At 37.3% G+C, this 21,965-nt stretch overlaps 1 protein-coding gene across 9 annotated transcripts in view, besides 1 other annotated feature; it reads left to right on the forward strand.

The window, feature by feature from the left end:
* KCNQ5 (potassium voltage-gated channel subfamily Q member 5) overlaps window positions 1–21,965 on the forward strand; it is a 576,790-nt gene that overhangs the window by 445,278 nt on the left and 109,547 nt on the right. For all 9 annotated transcript variants that reach the window (NM_001160133.2, NM_019842.4, NM_001160134.2 and 6 more), the window contains exons 4-5: window positions 9,981–10,156; window positions 10,421–10,546. In NM_001160133.2, coding sequence (NP_001153605.1) covers window positions 9,981–10,156; window positions 10,421–10,546 — 302 coding nt within the window. The remainder of the gene's footprint in view (window positions 1–9,980; window positions 10,157–10,420; window positions 10,547–21,965) is intronic.
* Window positions 8,730–9,662: an enhancer, noted in NCBI's record as "OCT4-NANOG hESC enhancer chr6:73785794-73786726 (GRCh37/hg19 assembly coordinates)". NCBI's record gives its function as "activates a minimal SCP1, AML or CMV promoter by ChIP-STARR-seq in naive H9 embryonic stem cells {active_cell/tissue: H9 hESC(naive)}" and the evidence as "EXISTENCE:reporter gene assay evidence [ECO:0000049][PMID:30033119]".

Here is a 21,965-nt window from a genome sequence, read left to right on the forward strand (position 1 = left end):
AGGGAAAGGTATATCTATAAAACATTTTTTTTTAGATTGAGAGTTAACATGATACCAGGCACACTAAGGCAGACTAAAGGCTTTATATGTATTATTTCATTTAATCATCCCAATAGCCCTGTGAGAAAAAGGGATCTATTCCCTATTTGCAGGTGAGGACTCCAAGACTCAGCAAGATTAATAGGCCCAAGGTCACACAACTAAGAAAGGACAGAACTAGAAATACCTGGGCTGTTGCACATGAAGTTTATACTCATAACCTCTGTGCCTCCTTGAAGGGCTATTATGGAGAAACAATGAAATAAAGTCTGTGTACTGAGCATCCCGCACAGCCTCATACATCAGAGGTACTCAATAAATGTTGCCCATTTCTCTTCTGTTTTCCCACCACTGACTAAATAAATTACCTTGGCCAATGTACTAACCTTTCTAGGCCATAGCTTCTTTTTTAAATAAGTTATGGTTCTCTTTTTTCTCATTACAAAAGCAATACATGGCTATTAAAGATCATTTGGACAAAAGATATATATATATATATATATATATATATATATATATATATATAACTAAAATTTGTATGGAATCTTACCACCTAAAGATAATCACCATTAATATGCAAATGTATGTATTTATACTATTTATTTTTCTATATACTATAAGAATACATAATCTGGCCAGGTGCAATGACTCACACCTGTAATCCCAGCACTTTGGGAGGCCAAGGCTGGTGGATCACTTGAGGTCAGGAGTTCGATACCAGCTCGACCAACATGGTGAAACATCGTCTCTACTAGAAATACAAAAATTAGTTGGGCATGGTGGCGGGTGCCTGTAATCCCAGCTACTGGGGAGGCTGAGGCAGGAGAGACACTTGAATCCTAGAGGTGGAGGTTGCAGTGAGCTGAGATTGCACCATTGCCCTCTAGCCTGGGCAAAAAGAGGGAAACTCCGTCTCAAAAAATAATAATAATAATACATAATATTTTGGGAGAGCAAAACTGAAATCCTGCTATCCTGCTATGTAATCAGTTATTTAAATAATGATGTTTAGAAACATTTTATCTCACAATATTCTTCTAAGACATAATGTTTTGTGGCTGTATCGCATTTGTGGTAATAATAATAGTAATAATAAATTAGCTCAAATGTATGTTAGTATTGTACTGAGATGTTTCACAGTTAACTTATTCAATTCTTGCAACCCTATGACATAGGTACCTTTATTATCTACATTTTACAGATAAAGAAACTGAGGCACAGAAAGATTCAGTCACTTAACAAGGTAACCCAGCTATTAAGCAGCAGAGCCAGGATTGGAACTGAGGCACATGAGCACCACAGCCCATGCTCTGGAAGGGATATAGCATGTTGTTTTTTATTAATCCATCCTCATTAGAAATCTGGATTGGTTCTCATTTTTTATACTGCTACTAATAGTGTTAGGTATGAGCTGGGAGGAGAAAAAAACAATAGTTTAATAAGTATGCTGCTGCAAACTTGTTAACATCTACAATTTTATCATACATCCCTACAGTTTAAATTCCTGAAATAAGTTATTCACATTGTTAATGGTTTTGTCAAATAATGTCAAATTGCTCCCCCAAAAAATACCATACCAATTTATTCTTACAGAAAATCTTCATCAAATAACTTTTTTTCTCTGCCTTGCCAACATTGACAATTCATTTTTTTAAACTTTGTCAGTTTGATAGAATAAAATGGTACCTTTCTAGTATTTTAAATTTCAAAACTAGAAATTGTAAAGAACTTTTTTATATATTAATTAGTCATTGTTTCTTCTTCCTAGGATAAATTCGTCTATGTGCCTTCTGTCCAATTTTCTACTAGCATGTTTTCTTAGTGTTTTATGTTTATATATTAAAGATATTAATCTTTTGTTCATCATCATATATGTTGCCATTTTTTTCCAGGTTTGTTTTTTGCATTTCAATCTGTGTAGAGTTCTTTTTTAATGTATGGAATTTTCGTGTGTTCGTGCCTTCACTTCTCAACTGCAAAATATGGGAGATTAAACTATATTGTTTTTAAGACCTTTAAAATTATAACATTGTATTCTATTTCTTTCCTAATTACTACAAACAAATAACTTATCAGGTAAGTATCTATCAAATAAGTTTTGAACATCTACAGTATGATATGTACGGAGCTAGTCACTGAGGTTACAAAAAAAAAAGCACGTCTGCATGCAGTTGGTTTCTTATAGCTTACTATAGAAGAGACCAGCAAGTAAACAGACTACTAGTATAATCATGGGTAATAAGTGTTATGACAGGAGCATACCTCAGACCTCTGGGCACAAGTGGCCTTGACTGGTTGATATCTGTGCTGAGTTCCAGAAGCAAGCAGAAGTGAGCCAGGTAAAGAAGGGAGAAGGGCCTTCTAGGCAGAGCAGCAGCATTTTATAGAGCACTTTGAATGCCAGGTAGCAGAATTTGATCTTTCTTCTATGTATTGGAAGGCCTTTTTTAAATCACAGAGGTAGTATAATCATCTTAACATTTTCATGTGGTAGTAGAATACAAAGTGGTTTAGAGAAAGGAAAAACAGGAGAGTGAAAACCAGGCCATACATTGTAGGGATGACCAAGAGAGAAGTAGCGTAGCCTGAACTAAGGAGGAGACAGGATAAATGGAAAGAGAAAATTAGATATGAAACATACTATGGAAGCAGAATCAACAAAAGTAAACCACTCAGTAGATATGAGACGAGGAAGACAATAAAGAAGGAGATGTTAATCCGTGAATTTAATATGAGGTCTGTATCAGAATTTTGTTGTTTAACTTGATTCATTTATTCTGAAATTCACTTGGTAAAAATAAATACGTTTACAATAATTGATACTACTTTGAAAAAGAATAACATTTGTGTCACACGAATATAGGAATAGGCAATAAAACATAATAGAATCCCAAAATAGGCTTCTCAATAAGTATATGCAAACATTTGGAGAATGACAGAGTTTTTATTTAGATGGTATTGGGAAAATTGACTTTCATATGGGATAAAAAGTAAGATTAGTTCTCTACTTCACCACAGAGACAAACAAAAATTCCGTTAAAACTAATGATTGTATAAGTTAGAGTAATGCTTAGTTATTATATAAATCTCCAAATTCTAGTAACTAAATAAAATAGAAGTTTATTTCTTACTTGTGTAATAGTCCAATGAAGGTGTTCTTTGTTTGGGGTTGGGGTATATGGTAAAGGCTCTGTTCCATGCAGTTATTCAGGAACCCAGGCTGACAAAAGCACTGCCATCTTCAGCACATGGTTTCTAAGGGCATTCTTAGTACCAAACTGCAACTGACATAGAAAAAGAGAAAGTGATAAGCCATATGTGCTTGCCCTCAACTGGGAAGTGGCATACATCATTTCCATTCGTCTTCATTAACTAGAATTAGTCACCTCATCTCACCCAGAAGCAAGGGGTCCCGGGAAATGAGACCTCTAGATGGGCAACCACTTCTCAGAGATAATGCTGTACCTTAGAAGGGAAGCACATATCTGTGGTAGACAGCTAGCTACCTTTACCACAAAGACTATTCTGAATAGTAAACATAAATTCATTAACTAAATAAGGATGTAAGTGTGCCAAAATAAAATATAGGAAAATATTTTTATAATCTTGGTTGGACAAAGTCATTCTAGATAACTTAACTTCTGTGACTTAAAAATGACATGAAATCCAGGCATCTAAAACAGGAGGGGGATGGTTTTGTTTTTCCCACTGTATTTGCAAAGATTGAAGACTTATAATATCCCAGGTAATAAATGAGTGTGCTTAGAACCATGTCTATCACATAGTGAACAGTAAACATTAGATTTACTAGTACTATTTTTATTATTATTAGCATTCCTTTTTATTAGCAAGGAGAGAGAAATAAGTGTTTCCATACATTGTTAGTGAGAATTGGTACCATCATTTTGAAGGCATCTTGATATCAATCACAAATCAAAATATGCCAAGAATTCAGTCTCAAGAAATTTAGCCTTAAATTCCTTATCCTAAAAATAAATGTACAGGACTATTCGTTTCAGCATCATTTTAATAGCAAAACCAAAAGTAACCTAAAAATTCATTAATAAGTGTCTTAGTCTATTTGTTTTATAATAAAGGAATACACAAAGCTGGGTATTCATAAAGAAAGTAGGTTTATGTGGCTCACAGTTCTGCAGGCTGTACAAAAAGCATGGTGCCTGCATCTGCTCCTGGTGAGAACCTCAGGCTGCCTCCACTCATGGCAGAAGGTGAAGTGGGGCCAACATGTGCTGAGATCACATGACGAGAGATGAAGCAAGACATAAGTGCCATTTTCTTTTTAACAACCAAATCTTAAGGGAACTTACAGAGCCAGAACTCAGTCATTACTTCAAGGACGGTACCAAGCCATTCATGAGCGATCCTCCCCCATGACCAAAACACCTCCCATTAGGCTTCACCTCTAACACTGGGGATCACATTTCAACATGATATTTGGAGGTCAAATATCCAAACTATAGCATAAGTAATTGGTTAATTAAATAAATTAGTGTCCTACCTTATATACATTTGTATTGTTTTGATATTTTACTTTATAACTTTAAAGTGTATATTTTATTAAAATTATTCAAAACTTAGCTTATAGTGAGGCCACTAGAATAATTCAAAAAACTGGAACAAAAAAATGTGGTGGGAGAGGGGGATATAAACATCAAGAACATTGTATTTGTCGTACTTCTGATTGTCTCAGAGAGAACAAGATGAAGTGAGTTTAAAGGGAAAGAGGTAAATTTATGTTAGTTATTAGGGAAAACTTTCTGAGACTATAGAATAACTTTTAATTTACAAAAATTTTAAAAGCCTGAAGTCTCCAGACAGTTTCTAGAAGTCAAGATATACCCTCTTTGTGGCTTACTTACCTCGAGAGGGTTTATCTGTCCTTATAACTACTAGTTTGAAAGTGTTCAACCATGCTTTGTTTGATCCAGATGATTTAGTTCTTTTCATTGTGATTTTACATTGAGCCATGTTATACTTTCTAATACATGCATTATGCAGTGTAATTGTAGCAACAAAACACAGTCCATCAGGTTCAGATGTACAATTGGCCTTGCTCTAACCCAATCCTTGAGTTCACAATAGGGAAGCTTTGGATGTAAATAATGAAGGCTTTTTGGTATTTCAGTGACTAACACCTTTTAGACAGGGTCCATGGTGATCAATTCATATTGATTTTGCTGACTAAATAATACTTGAGCAAAGTTCCAGTGGCATCTAAAAATAAGCTCTTTCACAGTCCTTATGTGTCTTAAATATCATTATGGTATTTATTTTGTTCAAATCTTTGCAGTCACCTCAAATTTCAAGAATTCATGTGTAAATCATTCTAAGTGATGCAGTAAATTAGTGAACCTACTTCCTAATACCTTGTAAACCTATATTTCACATTTCTACTGGGCTGCTTATAATCAATAGCTCTTTCTTCACTACTTCCCAACTTGTTCTAATTTGTTTCCTTTGAGAGAGGTAGATTTTAAGAGTTCTGGATTACATGCTTTTTTTTTTATTCATGTGACTTAGAGCTCCTCCTTGTTTATTAGCAGTTCTATTTCTTTCTCTAGCCCCATTTTCTCTTGAAGCAGCCATAAAAGTACCATCTGTTTTTCAGCATCATTTTATTTCTGCTTTCTCCTCCCTGCACTTTTCTCTTCTCTGAATGCTTTATGCGATAACAATTTATTCCTGATTTATTATCCACCTGCTTTCATAGCCTCCCCCTTTCTGTTCCTCCTCCATCCCTATCCCACCCTGGATGGAGTGGTATACCATAATTCTTAAGGACACAGCTTTGGAGTCAAGTAAGGGCCAGCTCAACCACTTATGCATGTTAGTGACTTGACCACTATGAGCCTCAATTTCTTCATTTATAAGAAAGAGAAGGTTATAATATCATCTACTACATAGGTTGGCTTGAAGAATTAAATAAAATAATGTACATCAGGGTTTCTCAGCCTTGGCACTATTGACATTTGGGGCTGAGTCATTCTTTGTTCTGGAGGCTGTCCTGGGCATTGTAGGATGGTTAGCAGCAACCCTAGTCTCTACCACTAGATGCTCGTAGCAACCCCCTTCCCAGCTATGACAATGCAAAATGTCTCCAGACATTGCTAAATGTCCCAGGGAGGCAAAATTGTCCCCATTCGGAATCATTGATGTATATAAAACATTTAGCACAGTGCCTGGTACATAGTAGGGACTTGATCAATAATTGTGATGGATGGATGGTCAGATGAATGATTGAATATTCATTTTTAATACAAGTGTCTAATATAATTCTTGACAGTCAATTAACTACTTAATACATAAATGGATAAACAAATGAACCTGAAGCCAGTGAGCTTCAAGGGCTGTCCATAGTTTCTACCTTACACCAAAATGTGTTATCTTCACTAAAAACAAGCTTCCTATGTTTCAAAAAATATTTTAGACAATTAACTAACTGCACAGCTTAAGCTACTCCCCCAATTTAATATATATGCATATACTTTAAATAATAGGGAGATTTTAAAATAAACTCTAATGGATGATAGCTATAACAATTATGTTGCTATAGAATTCAGTGCTAGAAATTGAAGTGATCCTTTGATTAACCTGAGTATTTTAGGTTGATATCCCAGTCAACAAGCCATTGATGTGGTAAGAGAACAAAGCTCAGCCAACTTTTAAGTGTTTTTTAATCTAATTTATCTTATTTAAATATTTATTGAGTGCCTACTATATTTCAGGCACTGTTCTAGGTACTCAGGATACAATTGTGAACAAAACAATGATAAAACACTGTGGAACCACCATTCTATGAAATAGTAGATCACAAAAATAGTAAATACATAAATAGAAGTAAAAATAAAGACTACTCATAACTTGTAAAATACTAGCCTAGGAAATAGTCTAGGTGGTACTGACAGCAAAATTCCAGTGGATGACTGTAACCCAACCAGAAACATTTTTGTGACTGCACTCACTGTTTGCCATTTGGTTGCTCATCTATGATTTCAGTTTACTGAACTCTAACTTTCTCGTCTGATCTGAATTACAATGAGGGTATTAAATCAAATCTGTGGTTACCTTTGCATATTTTGGAACTTCAAACATTTAGATTGTGATTCACTGTGTGCATAATTTTTTAAATTGTCTCAAATCAACAATCTTTCTCTTACTTTTCTAGGTTTTCTCTAATGAACTAACTTTATAGCATACTTTTTGTGCTGTAGTCTAACAAACCGATAGCTGAGTTTTTTTAAAAATGAATACAATATATGCTTTTTCTGCCTCGCTTTTTTCATCTGTAAAATGGGATCTGTGGGATACCTAACACATAAAGTCATTGTAAGGATTAAATAAGGTAATGTTTATTAAAAAAAAAAAAAAACCTTAGAACTGAAGAAAATGCCAAGCACATAGTAAGTTTTAAGTGTAGTATTTTCTGCACCCCTACTAGCCATGTACTTATTTCTAGTATTTCCAATATTTTAGCATAGTAAATGAGGTAGTATATCTTTTTCTTTTCTTTCTACACTTGGGAGAAAGCAAGATTACAATGAAATAAAAGCAAAATGTATGTCCAACAGGGTCATATAAGTAATGTCTGTTTGTAAACCACTAGTCTCAGGAGTAAATCCCTCAACATGATGAAAACCAAGAGATGTGTTTGCACATAACTCTTTTTATAAAGTTTTTTTAATTGCAAAGACATAGTCGTTGTTATAAACTTCCAACATACAGAAATTAATAATTTACAAAGTGAAAAGCCCCTTTATGCATATATTCACTTCAGCTCACTCCCTTTAGAAATAATTAATAGTAATAATCAGCGTATAGTCTCACTTTTTTTTTTTTTTTTGAGACGCAGTCTTGCTCTGTCGCTAGGCTGGAGTGCAGTGGCACGATCTTGGCTCACTGCAACCTCCGCCTCCTGGGTTCAAGGGATTCTCATGCCTCAGCCTTCCAAGTAGCTGGGATTACAGGCACGTGCCACCACACCCAGCTAATTTTTGTATTTTTAGTAGAGACAGGGTTTCACCATGTTGGCCAGGATGGTCTCGATCTCCTGACCTCATGATCCGCCCACCTTGGCCTCCCAAAGTGCTGGGATTACAAGTGTGAGCCACTGCGCCCAGCCTAGTCTCAAATTTTTTTCCTAGTCATATACTAATATATATTTCTATTAAAATAAAATCACATTGTACATACTGTTTTGCAACTGGCCTTTATTCACTTAAAATATGTCTTTGGTGTCAGTGTCAACACATTTAGTTCCTTCTTGTTTCCAACAGCTGCCAAGAGTGGTAACTCTCTTTGGCTCTCTGGGTACTTACCCACAAAAGCACATGCATTTAGAGCTGGTGGAAAAAGTCCTTCAGGGCGGACACCGGTGGCTCACACCTGTAATCTCAACTCTTTGGGAGGCCAAGGCTGGCAGATGATGTGAGCTCAGGAGTTCGAGACCAGCCTGGGCAACATAGCAATACCCCATCTCTACAAAAAAATACAAAAATTAGCCAGGCGTGTTGGTGCATGCCTGTAGTCCTAGCTCCTTGGGAGGCTGAGGTGGGACACAGAGGTTGCAGTGAGCAGAGCTCATGCCAGTGCACTCCAGCCTGGGTGATAGAGTGAGACCCTGTCAAAGGATGGAAAGAGGGAAGAAAGGAGAGGAGAGGGGAAGAAGCCCTTTGGCTGAAACTTGCACTGCCAACAACTGACCCCCCCTCTCTCTCAAAGCACTGACCCAAAAAGGGGCACCAGCAGAGAGGCTCAGAAGATCTTCTCAGTCCACACCAGGAGACCAGACCTTTCTCAGTGCAGGGAGAAGGATGAGCTGAATGAGGAATACTCACTTATACAGCAGTTAATCCAGAGGATGACAGAAACATTACAAATGTGACATCCTTGAAATGGAACTCCTCTTTGGAGTGTGGAAGCCCAGTCATGCACAACCCACTTGGAGCAGGAAGGAAATTGTATTTGAGGATGTTAAAGTCAAGCTAACTTTTATTAAAATTGCCACAGGAGGCCATTCATCCCCACTTCACTTATCCCACTTCAAAGCCTACTTCCCATCACTCAGATGTTTACTTATGGAGTGATTAAGTTTTCTTTTATCTTTTCTATGCTTTCATCAGATGCTCTTTTTCTCTTTTTTGCTTAGAAAAGGCAGATTTTTTCAGCCTAATGTCAATATGTCAAACATTAAGTATTCATTCCCTTGCAATGCACAGTGTTTATACTTACATACCCTATTATAACAAATGTAATATTATTTAATTATGCAGCAAACTTACACATAATTGGTGAACAGGTCTAAAGAATACTCTATACAGGAAGCATAGAGTATTCAGCTTAGCTGAGGCCTTTGTTAAACAATATGCAAAGTTGCAGGTGCCACATTAGGGAATTTTGGGGGAAAGGAAATGCAAACTTATTTGGCAGGAAAACAAGAGAAATGATTATATCTCACAGCACTTTCAAGCTGGACACATTTACATGCCTCTGTCACATCACCCAGAAGCTGTGGTGTTGAGGGCTGAGGCAGGAGATCCTTTTGCCACAGGAAAAAGGATGAAACGAGAGACATTGTGAAAGGTTGCCCCAAAGTCTTAAGGCTCCCTGAAACCTTGGGTTTTTTGAACACCATTGTCCAATCTGTTGAAGGTTAAATAATACGTTGTTCAAAATTGCATAGGTAAAGCGCAGAATGGCCAAAGGGTCAGAACTACAGCAATAGGTAGGTCCCATTCTCTGCCTTTTCATTCTTCAGTCTTCGGAAATGCCACAGAGGCCAAGTGGCACTAGGTGCAGCTGGGAATCAAGATCTGTTTATCTGTACCTTAAATAGGTCAAAGTGAACCTTTTGGAAATATTGTTTTGGTAAATAAAAATTCCTGGTCGTGCTAACTGTGGCTATTTCGACCTGTTTCTTTCAGATACCATTGTTCTTATCGCTTCAATAGCAGTTGTTTCTGCAAAAACTCAGGGTAATATTTTTGCCACGTCTGCACTCAGAAGTCTCCGTTTCCTACAGATCCTCCGCATGGTGCGCATGGACCGAAGGGGAGGCACTTGGAAATTACTGGGTTCAGTGGTTTATGCTCACAGCAAGGTAAGATTTGCTCTCTGAATTTAAAAACACAATTTTTGAAACTTTTTCATTGATCGCTGTAATAGTTAATAAACCTGTCACAAGAAAACTTAGTCATTGCAGAAAATGGTTAAAACAATTTTGGGACATGATGTACAATGGATTATTTAAGAGCCATCATAAACATCCAAGAAGTAGTAAAGTGAATAGAATCCTCATAGAATTCTTTTTTCCTTTTTCAAAGATTTCCCACCTCTAAAAATCTTTCATTCCTTTTATATCTAGGAATTAATCACAGCTTGGTACATAGGATTTTTGGTTCTTATTTTTTCGTCTTTCCTTGTCTATCTGGTGGAAAAGGATGCCAATAAAGAGTTTTCTACATATGCAGATGCTCTCTGGTGGGGCACAGTAAGTATAAAAATACATTTTTTATTTATTGGATGTTGTGAATTGTTTTTTTTTAATACAACGTAATGGTTCCTATGGATGGTTTCAATAAAAATATTAAATTGCGAAAGAGAGTTATATGGAAAATAAATACTACTTATTATTGTCTAAAGGCTTTCCACATCTTTTTAGGCCAACTAAGTTGTCTTGTAAACCATCATTAATATTTCTTGAGTGCTAGATTGTTGCCAAAATTAAAAATATATAAAATATATAAATATATATCATTTTTAAAATGGTGATTAAAACATTGATAGTTTGTTTATTTGTTTTAACTTTGTGGAGCACAAATTTAAATGATCAATTGTTGCATTGATTTTCCGCTCTTCAAAAGTTTATCTGGGGTTAAAAAATGAATGGAAGCTGTGAATAAAATTGCAGCACAAAGAAATGAAAAAGAAGACTGGTAACCATCTGTGAGATCAGAGATTATAGTCACCTAATTTCAAAACTTTCCTCTCAAAACCTACTTTTTCTTTATATTATTAAAGAATAATTTTCCAAATAAATAAAGTAAAATCATGATTCTTACATAGAAAGAAAATTAACACATGCTAAACATTCATTTAACTCATTTTAAAAGTTTAAGTCATTATTAATGAAGAAACCAGTAAGATGTTAAAACCAGTTCAAAGCACTATCCAAAGGACAGAAACATTTAAAGATCAGGAATATTGAAATCAATGTGCAAATAGAGGCAAAACTGGCTCCTTCCACAGTGTGGGAGGGAAGTCAGTTCAACCTCCACTAGGCAGAATTTATTTACATGTCCATAGGCAAGAATTATTTTGCATTGCTACCAGTTATCAACAACTTACAGAGTTGTAAAATAGCTCAAAGGCTATGAAAAGAGCAGAGCCCCATAAAATCAGAATCCAAAAACCTGGAAGGGTGTACTCTGAACAACGCATAGTTTTCCACTGAAGCAAAAATTTTCCCTGCATTGTAAAGAATTTATGAAACAGTCATTGGAGCTATGCCGTAATAAGAATGACATGGGATATAGGAGTGCTTTATGCAATGTATAAATTACATTTCTTTTTATTTTATTCCTTTAAGGTATTCCAAAGGGGAGTTATATGAAAATAATCATAGCCAAACATGGTGGCTCACGCCTGTAATCCAAGCACTTTGGGAGGCTAAGGCGGGCCAGTTGCTTGAGCTCAGGCATTTGAGACCAGCCTGGGCAACATGGCAAGACCCCATCCCTACAAAAAATACAAAAATTAGCCAGGTGTGGTGGCACACTCCTGTAGTTCCAGCTACCTGGGAGGCTGAGGTGGCAGAATCACTTAAGCCTGGCAGGTAGATTATAAATGCTTGTCTAAAGAATGTCCATATCGTTTTGGTTCAAAAAACCCCGTGAGTTCTCTTTTAAACCACCCTTAGTATTTCTTGAGTTCTAGATTGTTGCCAAAATAAAAATATATCATTTTCTTAAGCTGTGATTTAAACAATGATAGGCTTTTTATTTGTTTGTTTAGTGAAGCACAGAGTTACCAATTGTTGCATTGTTCCACTAGTCATCAAAAGCTCATCAGCAAGACCCAGAACATTTGTCAGAGAGGGGGAAAATTTGTTAGGGCTGTATTTAGCAGAACTTGTTGTATTTGTTGATTGCATAGCAGCAATAAAATGAATAAAAATGAGAAATACATTCACCTAAAGATTCGAATTTTTTTCTTAAGTTATCTAAGTAAATGTCTACAAGATTATGCCATTGGTTTCAAAGGATTCCGTTGGTTTAATAATGTGGTTTCCGGCTGCTCTTCACTATTCACAAGCAATAATGGGCATTTCGAAAAAGAGTGGAAGCTTGAAAGAGAGCAGTCATCTGACACTCTTAAAATACTTTTTATATGTAGAGAGCAAATGAAAATCTGTGACTCATGATGGGATAAACTGTAAACTGAGAAAACAGGAGGCTTTTCTTGCCAGCAAGGGGAAGACAGTTTATCATCCCAGCCTTCAAAGCAATGGTTTGAATTCAAGTTTAATTTTTGCTTCTCTTGGATAATTCTAATGTATTTGACTTACTGAGGCACCCAGGTGCCCCTTTTGCCACTGAGATGCAGTTGTTGGTGAGTTTAGCCTGGGAGCTCATTATCTTTCTTTTTATTAGTCTTCCATTTCTCCTTATTACAAAAAAGAATTGCTGTATTGTGTGTTAAACAGTGTGTGGGAAACTCTTAATATACCTCTCAGTTAGTCATCAGTTTGTTTCTTTTGCCAGAATAACCCACACGGTAGGTTTTCAAAGGTCATATCTGTGACTTTCAGGGGAAGAAACATTTTCATTGATTTGCCTTTCAGTTCTGCTAATTTGACTGACATTTAACCCGTACTTAACAGGTTCCTGAATGGCCTAATTATGTTTCTATTTTTAAAAAAAATCTAGTCTTGAATATGAGAGTAAAAATTTTATAAGAGATCAAACTTCGAAGAATTTTTTAAGGCCTTATTGGTCCGTAGCAGGTTTGTTGATATTAACTGACTCATTAATGAAATTGTCTGAATCCTAAAAAGACAGAAGAAGCAAACAAACAAGAGAGCTCATTGTTTCTATTCATTTTAAGAAGAACATATACTAGATTCCTAGTGGGAAATAAAATAAATTTAGACTATTATACCTTTTATTTATACATTAATCAAGACCTTAGTGAAAATTATGGTTGGGTATTTCTTAGTTAAAATTGCGCATGTTGCACCTAATGGAAACCTTAATAACTATGGAAGTATCCAGAATAAATAGGGAAATGATAGCATCCTAAATGAGAGTATTTCTAAGTGTTACACTTTGATGAAAAAAGGAAATCCCCTATATTAAAAGATCCCACAGTATCAACATTAAGTATCAAAATATAGGTTTTGTTCCACAGATACGCTGTGCCAGTGAATTTTCAATACTAACTCTGGAACTCCTTCCATTAAGATAGTGAGATCTGTCCCCTAGATCAACATTTGGAGGGATATCATGGTGGGATCAGTGCTGCCCAAAAAACTTTGATCCCTGAAAGCAGTTTCATATTAGTGAATAGCAATACCTAGTTCATTGAGTAAGTGAAATAGATATAAAAGACCTGGTACCAAGAACATAGCAAGTGCCCAATCAAATATGAGAGCTATTGTTGGTGTAGACATCATTGCTGTGGAAGTTAAATGAAAGCACCTTTAATACAAAAGGAACAAAAAAAGAGCTATGTGTTTTGATGCAGACCCACAGTTTGAACACAGAAGAGGCTTGGGAATTGGAGGTTGTGATGAAAAGATGTCCTGGGTTCTGATGTGGCAACTAAAGTTGCATTGATGGCAGAAAATGGAAGAGGGAAGTAGCTCTAGTAGCTGAGGCACTGAGAGTTGCTGGAAAAGGGGATCTTCTGATTGTTGGATAGAGCTCCATTTATTATCATTTTCTATTGTTATTTTTCTCATTTTTGGTTGTTCCAGATTTATTCTGAAATAATTTAAGAATGGGTTTCCCTGGAGTTATTTTCTGTTATTAAATCCTTCCTGTTTTGTGGGAGTGATTTTTCTCTTTTTGATCTGCTTTAGATTTATTTTGAAATAACTTAAGATCAGGTTTTCCTGCACTCCAGCCTGGGTGCTTGAGTGAGACCCTGCCTCAAAGACTCCCTTGGGGAGAATTATACCGTGCCACGGAAATCTACCAACAGTATATTGTTCACCTGAACACATTAGCTATAAACTAATGTACATAGATTTACTAAAAACATAATTGTATCTTCAAAATCAGGTCAATAAATATTTGTTGATTTGTTGCCTGAAAGAAAGAAGGATTTATATCTCCTGATTTGGAATTAATTCTGCTATTGAAAAGAAAAAAAACTTTAGCCTAACCAGTGTCTTAAATTATAATCTGACCATAGCCTCAGCCATCTCATTTAAAAAAAAAATCAAGAAAAGTCTGGACCAGAGTTTTCATTTGTTTTTCAGTATTATTTCTGAGGAAGAATTCCTGAATGCTAAACACACGAAGGTGCCCCCACTCCACCTCAGATTTTCCTAACATAATTACAACTTTATGCCAACATTTCCAACCCACAGATTTTCAGAATGTATTTTCTTTCACCTGTGTGACTGTATTTGAGCATAGGAAACATAAGGGCCAAAATATATCTAAGCTGTTTCTATCTGCAAGACGCCTTCAAATAAATGGTCCAGCTGAAGAGATGGTACAAAATACCAGGGATTCCTGAGGCCAGCTGTGGGGAGGTAGCAGGGCAAAGCAGACCATCCCTGCCCAGATCCTCATCCGCCTTGTTACCCTGCAGCCTGAAAAGGCAGCTGCCAGCTTCTCAGTTTAAGAACTGTGGCAAGAAATGGCAGCTTCTCACTTAAGGAGAATACTACTCTGCCTAGAACTTTACTGAAAGAGATGGTGGACATTTTTGTCACTTGTAATTTGTTTTTAATTTTAAAAAGTAAATTCAAAACGTCATGACCTTACCTATGATATTATAAAGATCATACTCAAAAGTCACGAGTATGAATCACAGAAGATTTTTATAATAAAAATGTAATCTATCCAGTGCATGTTCACCAGCATATCTCTTACAAGCTCTGGAATGAGGAAAAAAAATGGAATTATGTCCAATATCGTGATGTAAAGATCCATCTCTCTATTCTCCTGCTTCTCATCTCTTACACACACGTATATATAAGCAAAATGTCACGCTCACATGGGTGTGGGAAATCAAAGCTCACGAAACACTATTTAGTTTACTTGCCCACTTATGTAAATATTGTATTTGTTTTAGAATAGAGTAGAAGCTCTCAGAACTTATTTCCTCTTCACTGACTGGCCAGATTAACCAACACTCCTCACTCCCACAAAACATACTGAGGCTTGCAGAGCACAAAATGCTCTTTAGTATCCACAGAATTCTGTTCTGAACATTGTTTGAATGCTTGCAAAGAGTCAGCATGTTCATTACCAAACCTTTTTTTTTTTTTTTTTTTTTGAGACAGGGTCTCACTCTGTCACATAGGTTGCAGTGCATTGGTGCATTTATAGCTCGCTGCAGCCTCAACCTCCCAGGTTCGAGCAGCCCTCCCGCCTCAGCCTCCTGAGTAGCTGGGACCCCAGGCACATGCCACCATGCCCAGCTAATTTTTTACTAATTTTTTGAAGAAAAGGGGTCTCACCATGTTGCCCAGGCTGGTCTCAAACTCCTAGGTTCAAGCAATCTGTCTGCCTTGGCCTCCCAAAGTGCTGGGATTACAGGCGTGAGCCACTGTGCCCGTCCCATTCCTAAACCTTTTTATGTCAGTTGTATTTGTAATTATAATGGCATGGTTTAATTTTATATTATTGCATAAACTGATGACATATGGTACAGAAAGAAAGATGGATGGTTTACGAAAATAGAATGCTTTAGAAAAGCTTGATAAATGCAAAATACTAAATATGCTAAAATACTAAAAATACTTCAAAATCAGGGGTGAACACACAACTATGTGGGGGAAAAATCTTAAATATTTAGGACTCTGTTCTCAGATAGCTCCCACAAAAGTTGAGTTTATGCACCACTAAAAAAAAAGTTAATTTTAAAAAACATTAAAATTAAGGAAAATAAATGATGCATTATGAGTGAGATTTATGCAAAAAAGATAAGGCAGAACCCCAATTGCAGAACACATTCTTCATCAAGAATATTACATTTATGTGCTTTAGGCTAAAATAAAATATGCAGCATATAAGTCTCTTTGTGATTATCTGCATTAGTCAAATTTCTGACTAAGCAACCAAGTAGCCATCATAAAAGTTTCAATTAAGAAGACTTCTCTGTGTATTCTCATGCATTAATATATAATATCAGAAAATTATCTCACCAACAGAGAATAACAAGGCTGTCTCATAAGAACATTTATTTTACATTGATTCAACTGCTTTATGGTTCTACTAATTCCCTTGCAGCACATTTGCTATGCAGAGTAAAAGTCTGATGTATTGTGATTCACTTTTAACACTGTATATATTAGAAGAGAATTAAATGCTTTGACTCAGGAAGTATCAAAAATATATTAGTACAAAAAGAACCCATTAACCGACCACACTTTAGTTCTTTCTGTCATCCCAAACCCACCCAATCCCTGTCATCCCCACCTACCTAGCCCATATGTAGTCATGAAGCATCCTCATGGTTCACCCGAGATGAACAGAGTCACTGGGTTTAATTCCAGCACCATCACCCATGGGACTCAACCCTTGCACCCTAATGCCATATGCACATATAGAACTGGCAGAGAATTACACAACAAAGGGGGCGGGATGTGATGGAAGTATCTTCAAAGGAGCAACTACATTATTTATTTAATGTTGGATTCCCAGTCTAAAGATAGTGTAAAGGGATTATTTATTTAATGTTGGATTCCCAGCCTAAAGACAGTGTAAAGGGAGTGTGTTATTTATTTGTTTTTCTTTATAACAGTAATCCATTTTTTCCAAAATCAGCTCTGGCTCTTTAACTTCATTTGGCCCATATTACTGTGTTAACTGTATACTGTTAAGTGATAATAGCAACCTGCCCTTCTGCCTGGGAGTCACTGACGTACGCAGTTTGTAAGCATCTGCAATACAGAGATGATGAGATACAATTGAATAAGTCATCTTCCCATGCCATGCCATCAGGATGCTGCTGGGTTCTTGAAGATCTGTGAGAAATGTTTCTAGAAAACGAACTGACTGCCTCATCACCCAATTCAATTGTGAAGTCTAGATGTGATTTCCTCCAAGCCCCTAAAGATCGCATATGCAGCCTCTCCAGGTTCTCTGAAACATGCTGCTATTCCAGAATCTCCCCACTTATTCTGAAGAACGGGTGCCCTTGGGTTCTTGTGTGGGCCTGCCCTTTCTCCGACCCTGAACCTAAATGAAACTAATCATTACTGGGTTCTACCAGTGAAAAGATTCATAACATTTTTGGAAGGCAGAAAGAGGTTTATTATTTAGCACAAGCATGGGAGAATAAGAACCAAGAGGGCTCCTGCTACTCAGTTCATGTACAAAGGATCAACTGATAAACATTAGCAGGGCCTCCCAAGTGCTAGGAAAAGAAAAGAAATATAATGTAGTTGTACAGTTCCAAGGAGACTCACTGGTACTTCAAGGGCAGCTTGACCTGAAAGTCCAGAAAAATCAATGAATATCTATGCAGCGCTCATCTAAGGATGGTTTATCAAATGCAGCTGGTCCTTGACTTAAAATGTCAAAGCCAGATCAAGCAGATGGGTCAGGGTGAATACCTGGAAAAAATTAACATCTTTTTATTGTAAGCACATCTTAAAGACTTCATAATTTTATGTCTGGTGCTATCTTTCTGTTCACATCATGAAGCCCAGGTGTCCTCTTTGCCACCACAGAAGGGAAATGATGCATGCACGCTCCAGGCAAAAAACGAGGGAAACCCACACCAACTCCCTCTCTGGCATAGAGGGGGACAAAACTGCCACCCTGTTGCCAGATCCTTCCCAAGCCTAAGCTGCCAACAAAAGGCCCCTTTGCTTTAACCAGGAAACATCCCTAGCTCCTTTGAAATCAGAGGGGAGAAAGTTATTGAGGCTGGGGGTTCAGTTGCTGGCTGTTCAGGTCCCTTGCATTCAGTGAAATGTGATCATCCCGGAAGCCTGAACCGGAGTGTAGGGAGAAAGTGGGCAGGGTCTTTGCTCACCCCCAGAGGAACTCCAGAGTGCTGTTCTCAGATTTCACAACCTTCTATTCTCCCCCGCAAACCACCCCTGTAAGAGAAAGGGGCAACCCTAAATTCAGAATGAAAGAAAGCAGGCACTCTTTTCTACTCAGGATGAAACACTGAGCACATTGTCACTTGGCTGTGTCCCATTCTTCAGAGTTAGAGTCAGTGGTTTAAAACCCACTCTGTGAGCACTGGGCCGAGCAAATGTATTATTGGAATGAAAAGCAAAGGAAACCACGAAATGTAACATTTTTGCTGTGACCAAACCATGAAAGTTCTTCTTCAGTCTATTATTATTAATAAACCGATGTAAAAGGATTAAGCTATTTTTCAGAAAAAGTATAGTAGATTAATATCTGTCCCACATATATAAAGATTAAGAATAAAATTGACCTGGAAATTTTTTTTCTGCATTCTCAAGGAATTCTTTTGAGAATTCCATATTAATACTGCTGATGACATTAGATTAATTTGGCTCCTGTAAAGTTCTACTACATATTCCCTCTCTCTGACATTGAATGAGTTCTTCCAACCAGCAGACCTCTTATTAACCTGTCCTTGACCCCTTCTCAGACCTTCACAGCCCAAGCCTCTTTGCCTATTCCAAGCCTCTGACTCCCCACACATGATCCCACCTTCTCCTTGTCTATAATTGAAAGGACAGACATAAGCATTCCTAATCCTTCCCTCCACTCACACTGAGGCCACATCATACCCCCACTGTGGAAGCGCTGTCCTTTCACACTGCCTGGGCTAACCCCTCCAACTGTGCCCTTAACCGAATTCCTTCTTGGGTACTTTACCCCATCAGGAAGCCGCCACCCCTTCCCTCTTCAGTCTCACCCTCTCTACAAACATGCAGAAGTACATCCTGGAAAGCCTCCCTTCAAGTCAGAGATTCCTGGGAGTTCTTGCCCTCTACATCTCACTTCAGTTGTTGCCAATGTTCTTCAAAGTATTATTCATTTATTTACTAAATATTTAGTGAGTTTCTCTCACTTTGTGGCAAGCATTATGCTAGATGTTGGGGAAATAAAGAGCAAGCTGAGGTTCCACTTTCTAGTTAAGGAAATAAGAATCCCTACCCAAAGAAAAATACAACAGACTATCACTCACGTTAATGTTATTACGAAACAAGGAGCTGTAATATAGAGTAATCAGAGTCTCTACTGAAGATAGGTAGGAAAGGCCTCTCCAATGAGGGAGTATTTTGGATAAGACCTGAAGGATGAAAAGGAGCCCTGGGAAGAGTGAGGAAAATGGCAATTCCAGCTGAGGGAACAGCTTGTGCAAAGGCCCTGAGGCAGAAAGATCCTGGCTTGTTTGAAGAGCCAAAAGGCCACTGTCATTAAAGTGCAGTGAGCAAGGGTAAAATCAAAATGATCTTAGGTAGGTGGAGATGGCTTAATTAGTAGCTTAGAATTTATTTTGAATTCAACAGCTAGCCATTGAAGGATTTTTTAGATGGAAATAAGAAAATGATACCCCTTGCAGGTATATGAAGAAGGAACTAGAGGAAAGCAAAAGCAAAAGCAGAGAGAGCAATTAAGAGGCTACTATAGCAGCCTGGTCTACCATGGTGGCAGCAAAGACAGAGAAAAGGGGGTGAATTTGCAAAAACCTAAGGAGATCGAATCAACAGGACTTGCTGATAGATTCCGTGGGGGGAGTGAGGGAAATGAATAGTTAGGATGATTCTGAGGCTTCTGACATGAGCAAGTGGATAGATTGGTGGAGCTCTTGGTTAAGACAGGAAGGAATATATTTGGTAGAAATAAGAGTTCTGTTTTAGACACATTCAGTTAAATGACTGTGTGACATCTAAATGGAACTGTCAACTGCAGATATGTGAATTGGGAACTCAGAAAAGTGGTCTGGCCTAGAGATATAAATTTGGAGTGTTTAGCATAAAAGTGGCATTTAAATCTATGAGAACATTTAAGATCACCTGGAAAGAGAGAAAAAAGAGGGGATAGAAAAGAAAGGAAAGTCTAAGAAGAATACAATTTTTAAAAGAAGAAAAAGACTTAGAACAAAACCTTAAAAATCCAGTGTCCAAAGGTTGAAAAGGGTAAGAGGAGCCACAGAAAAAGAGCCACCAAGGAATACAAAGAGAAAACCATGGAAGTGAAGAGAAGAGTGCTTCTAGAAAGAGGTGGTCAGCTGAGCTGAATGCTTCTGAAAGGTCTGGCATCATAGAATTTGTCTCCCTCTTTATCAAACCTGCTTCTGAATTGTTCCCCCTCTTTCAAAGCCCAGGTAAGGTGGCATGACCAGAGCAACCACTTTCTCAGTGATTGCCAGTGACCACCTATCTCCACCATATTCAGTCTCTTTTTCTCAATGCTCATTGTCCTTGTTTTCTTTTTCTCTCTCTCTCTCTTTTTTTTTTTTTTTCCAGATGGAGTTTCACTCTGTTGCCCAGGCTGGAGTGCAATGGTGTGATCTTGGCTCACTGCAACCTCCACATCCTAGATTCAATCAATTCCCCTGCCTCACCCTCCTGAGTAGCTGGGATTACAGGCATGCACCACCACACCTGGCTAGTTTTGTATTTTTAGTGGAGATGGAGTTTCACCATGTTGGCCAGGCTGGTCTCAAACTCCTGGCCTCAGGTGATCCACCTGCCTCGGCCTCCCAAAGTGCTGAGATTACAGGCATAAGCCACCGTGCCCAGACTCACTGTCCTTGTTTTCTATTAGGCTGTGACATCAGAGATTACCTGGTCTTTGTGAAACTCTCCATTCTCTATTGAGTTTCCATTTATATAACCCTTTCCCGATTGTTCTACTTTTGAAAAACTTGAAAAACATGACATCCAAAGACATTCTTCTCTGACTTTCCTTTCCCTTCCATTCCTTAAATGTCTGTGTTTTTTGAGGTGTCCCTGGACCCTTTCTGTGTACCTTTTGTAATCTCAGTTATGCACATAGCTTTAACATCACCCTGTTACTGATTCTAAAACCCAAATCTCACGCCAAACCAAATTTCTCTCTCAGGACTCAAGCTCTCATTCTCAGTTTCCTGCTAGACATTTCTGCATTAGTCATACTGACATTTGAAAAACCATTATTTGCAAAACTAAACTCTTCACCTTTACTCCAAAACCTTCTCTTTTTCATTATAATGCTTTTATTTATGGTGCAACCATCTTCCCACTTAAAATTTTCAAGTCACTGTTAACTTAGTCTTTCCTTTTACCTCAATCAATAAATTTATTTCTATTGAACTTCCTAAACATTTCTCTTTACTCTCCACTCTCATAGTGTCTTAACTGGTCTCTGCACCTCTCATTTCTTCCTATTTCAATCTCTCCTGTACATTTGCTGCCATAATTTCAGCTTCTAAAAGCACTACTCTGATCACATTATGTACTTTGCTTACAAAAACCTTCCGTCAGTATTTCTGGGCTGCAAAACAAGAGAGCAGAATCCTATCCCACCCATAGGGCTTTCATTCCTTTATTCAGTAAATATATATTGAGTGACTACTGTATGCCAATCACTGTGCAAGGTGCTTGGATTCAGCAGTAAGATAAAGTCCCAACCCACATACAATTTACTTTCTAGTTGGGAAGGCAAACAATAAACAATTTAATCAATATACAATATCATTTCAGGTATTGATACATTCTATGAATAAAGATGAACAGAATAAGGATTTAG

Source organism: Homo sapiens, chromosome 6 (genome assembly GCF_000001405.40).
Source record: "Homo sapiens chromosome 6, GRCh38.p14 Primary Assembly".
NCBI lineage: Eukaryota > Metazoa > Chordata > Mammalia > Primates > Hominidae > Homo > Homo sapiens.